This window comes from Homo sapiens, chromosome 5, assembly GCF_000001405.40.
Source record: "Homo sapiens chromosome 5, GRCh38.p14 Primary Assembly".
NCBI classification, from domain to species: Eukaryota; Metazoa; Chordata; class Mammalia; order Primates; family Hominidae; genus Homo; species Homo sapiens.
This window is the reverse complement of record NC_000005.10, coordinates 73,172,662-73,176,808: the sequence shown is the minus strand read 5'-3', so window position 1 is coordinate 73,176,808 and position 4,147 is coordinate 73,172,662. Positions and strand designations below refer to the sequence as shown.

Here is a 4,147-nt window from a genome sequence, read left to right as displayed (position 1 = left end):
CTGAGTGAAAGAATGATAAAAGGCAAATATCTGGACAACAAAACAGAAACTCTGTCGAGAATGTGTCCTGCTGGTCAGAGACGTAGCAAGGACCTGGTTGGAAGTCAGAGTTTAGGAGCCACACAGTGGGCTTCCCATCAGATTGGCCCCTGAAATTCCCAAATAAAGAAATAGAGAGCATGAGTGGTTGTCTCAAAGCAAGAAAATCGGTGGGTGTAATTTCTTGGTTACTGGAAGGCACCTCTGTTTGAGGGTTGCAGCAGCAGAAAAATAAAAAGGTTTACACAACCTGCTGAATGCCTCATAACACTGCCTCCCACATGGGGCTCTGCCAGGCCCCTCCCTCCTGCCCTCTCCTCTTTGTCTAGGAGACAGCCACTGTTCCTTTAGCTCCTAGCACAGTCTCCACAGGTCCACAGACACCCTGTGAACAGTGCTTTCTGGGATTATGCAAGGCAATGACCCTGACTTCACTTCCGAAGCAAGCCTCATGACCCTTTAATGAGTCCAAATCCCTCTTAGGGCTACAGGACTTCTCAGTGGTGTCAGAGAATAATTAATAGATGATTAATACAGATAATGAATCCGTATCTTTCTCCCCCACTAGACTACTAGACTAGAGGCTCTGCAAGGGCAGAACCATGTATGCTCTCTTCTTGGTGACATTTTTAAGTTATATTTCCACCTGATGGACCCAGACCGACACAGAGTAGATGCTCAATAAATAAATATTGCACTAATGAACAAATTCCTGTTTTCTGATCCCTGACTGCTGCAGATCCTACTCCTACCTCGAGCTCTTGAAGCCATTAGCCCTGAAGCACTCTCTTTGGAAGCATAAATGACCTCTACATTAGCACTTTTCCCTCTGTCTTGGAACAGGAATTGTTGGTGCCAGAAAATAACCATCCCAACCCTCCAGGCCACCTCCCTGCATATCTGACTCTAGGCATCTCCAAGACAAACTGGCTGCTCTGCCCTACCCAGCTGTATGTGGGGATGCCCTTTTCCTAATAACATTTTCTTTTTTGAGCTACTTTTGATGTTCATTGTAGCCCAAATTTATGAACATAAAATTATGGGGTGGGTGAAAATGGCAGGGGGCTGGGGAGAGACAGTCAGAGAAGCACTCAAGGCAAGGGTGGCATGAGGGGCCCAAAATGTCATCTGCTGGTCAGCATGCCACTGGTGATGCTCAGCCTGGTCCTTGTCACCAAACTTCTTCTCCAAAACCAATGGCCCTCAGCTAGGGACCAGTGTCTCAGGGATCTGCTGAACATAAAGCTAGTTTCTTTAAATGAAATCATTTTCACTTATCACCTATCATCAAACATGACAGTGTATGTGAAAAGGTTTTGTCCCCAAGATATAACATAAATGACAACAATAATATACCAAGCTTACTTCACTCATATCCTTGGAAACCTAGATACTTCTGATCAAAATTAGTAAAAGTTGCTCCATATACAAACGCTATGTCAAAATTTTTTTAAGAATTGCTTAATCCTGTGTCTTCCTTTAGGATGTACCACCCTTACCTTGAGTGGCATTGCCTTTGAAGCCCAAAGCAAATATTTTCTTTTAAAACCTAATGGTTTTAAACTGTCTCTTCTAAAGTCTGTGAGTCAGTTCCAGTTGTTTATTACACAGCCAAATTCAGAGAGATTAAGGACACCAAAGTTTTTTTAATGAAGAAGATGAGTTTCTTTTAGTCATAAAGATTGTTTCTATCATATCATTCCCCATGTGTTGACATGGCAACTCTGCTCTGTCTTGCTCCACAGACCTACGGGTACTTAGGGAAGTCCTGTGTTCTGTCAGCCACTGGTCCCAGCTAGTTCATGCTTGGCGCAGGCCCCAGCCTGGGGTGGACCAAGAGCCCACCCATGTTCATCACACGTCAAGCTTCAACCTTGCAGAAGAGAACAGCAGCAGCCAAGGGTCACTGTGACTCAGTGATCGGGAAGGATGTATTCACAGCGCTATCCTATTATGGTCTATTTTGTGTAATTTAGTCAGGTATCCAATACTATTCTAGCAGGAGACATGATTTATTTTATTTCATTGGTTTGATGTTTTTGTTTTGTTTTGTTTTATAGTCTTTAAGGTACCCAGAGTCCTCAGAGAGGCCAGATGGCAGCTGAGTTGTTTGGGATTAGTGAGTCTGCTTTGGGGCCAAGGACAGCCACCAGGAAATCTCCAGCTGGGCCTGCTTTCTCTTCCCTGCTTCCTTCCCACCCGACTCTCACCTCTGTGGAAACTCCCAAAGTCTCAGAAGTCGTGATTTTTCCATTGGCTGCTGGGGTTAAAATTGAGCCACCAATGCCTTCCTACAGAGAAGGGGGAGGGTGGTGGATGAAAAAGTGAAATTCCTGCTCCTGAACCTTATACAGGAGATTTCTTACCCGAGGGAATTTGAAACTGTTCCGGAGGAGAATTTCCCCAGCCCAGCCTAATTTTTACCAATCTGAGAAATTGCACCTCCCACTTCCCCTTTCCCCCCTTGAATGATCTCTGTCAGGCTGCCTGGGCGCTGCTGTAACTTCTGAAGGTTACAACATAGAACACCACGGTTGTCAGGTAACAATGACGGAAACACTTGCTCCCTGAGCTGAGCATTGTGTTATTATATCAGAATAGCCTCTAGCGAGGGAGAGAGTATATTTCTTCATAAGGGGGAGGAGAGAAGCAGGCACAGGCCTCCTCTTCCAGCTGTGTCTCTTCTAGCTGGTCAACATCAGGATTGGGCCTGAAATGTGAGCAGAAAACACAGGTACATTATGGTCCAAAGCACCATTCACAGAACCAAGGCTGCCATCGTGGGCAACAGGCTAAGAAGAGATTCACAGTCTCCCAACACCTTATTCATGGACCAAACAGCCACAGATCATGACGGAGATGGCTAGAAGGAGTGCATTCCCCCAGTAGACACGCCATACCTGTGATTTCCACCGTCCGTGAAAGAAAGGCAGCCCTCATCAACCACAAATGCAGAGTTATCTTGAGGGTAGATGGTGTAGTATTGAGGAGGACTTGACATGGCGGCTGCTGCCCCTCCAGAGGTTATGAGGCCGCAGGGGCTCACCACAGACTGCAGGTAGCTGGTATTTATCCCCATAGGCTCTGGAGAACCATAAGGAGGAGGGATGTACTGCACCACAGTGGCCCCATGGAAGGTGATGGGTTGGTTGATGCCAGTGAAAACAAATGATGGTCCTCCTGGTGTCTGTTCCGAGTCCGGGACCCTTTCCTCACTTTCTTTGCACAACTGGCAGGAGAGCATTTTGAACTTGCACACAGCAATCAGGATGAATGTCACCCCAACTGACAGCAGGACGGGCCCAAGGAGCTGGGTCCATTCAAAGTGGGAGACACCTTGGTATTTGATCCAGCCCATGACAGTGAATGTGATCCCCACCAGTCCCAGAAAGATGCCTGAGAAGAGCAAGGTGGCCCCCGCCTTGTCATCATCGGACACCTGGATGTCAGCGGTGCTGGGTGTGTAAGGAGTGACGGAGAACACATTGACAGGGAAGTCCTCCAAGCGGCCGCTGCCCTGCTCCATTGCTCCTTGTGGGCTCACCCTGCTTCTTAGAGTGGAGAGGATTGTGAGAACCAAGGAATCACAGGTCCAAATTAGTTATAGAAGAACTTAGGGCTTGTGCTTAACAGGGTGTAACACACAGAGGGCTGGACCTTGTTTAGAAGAATAAAGGTCTGAGAAATGAAGCCTGAAGTTTTCTCATGTATTGTCAACAAGTGGAGGTCTCTGTTTTGCAAGTCAATGACAAGCTGTCTCTCTAATTCACATTCATTCATTCACACATTCAAAAATTAACTTATTGAGCCCATCTTTCTCTTTCTTTTTCTTTTCTTTTCTTTTTTTTGTTTTGTTTTGTTTTTTTAGGGTGTGGGTCTCACTCTGTCACCCAGCTGGAATGCAGTGGCACAATGATAGCTCACTGCAGCCTCAACCTCCTGGGTCAAGCGATCCTCCCACCTCATCCTCTCCAGTAGCCAGGACTACAGGCACACATCACAATGCTCAGCCAATTTTTAAAATTTTTTGTAGAGATAGGGTCTCATTATGTTGACCAGGCTGGTCTCAAAACTCCTGGACTCAAGTGCTCCTCCTGCCTTGGCCCCA

At 46.4% G+C, this 4,147-nt stretch overlaps 1 protein-coding gene across 1 annotated transcript; it reads right to left on the bottom strand.

The window, feature by feature from the left end:
• Positions 1-1,665: 1,665 nt before the first annotated feature.
• TMEM174 (transmembrane protein 174) lies at positions 1,666-3,616 on the bottom strand. Its single transcript, NM_153217.3, has 2 exons — positions 2,940-3,616; positions 1,666-2,749 (listed from the first exon to the last, which is right to left on the bottom strand). The coding sequence occupies exons 1-2, from the start codon at positions 3,563-3,565 to the stop codon at positions 2,644-2,646; spliced, it is 732 nt and encodes a 243-aa protein (NP_694949.1). The 5' UTR covers positions 3,566-3,616; the 3' UTR covers positions 1,666-2,643.
• Positions 3,617-4,147: the final 531 nt, after the last annotated feature.

What these genes read in the sequence shown, in the direction of transcription:
- TMEM174 (NM_153217.3), bottom strand. Translation starts at nt 3,565, where the DNA reads ATGGAGCAGGGCAGCGGCCGCTTGGAGGACTTCCCTGTCAATGTGTTC. An exon ending in ACGGACGGTGGAAATCACAG is followed by an intron (nt 2,750 to 2,939) that starts GTATGGCGTGTC and finishes CTCACATTTCAG; the next exon opens with GCCCAATCCTGATGTTGACC.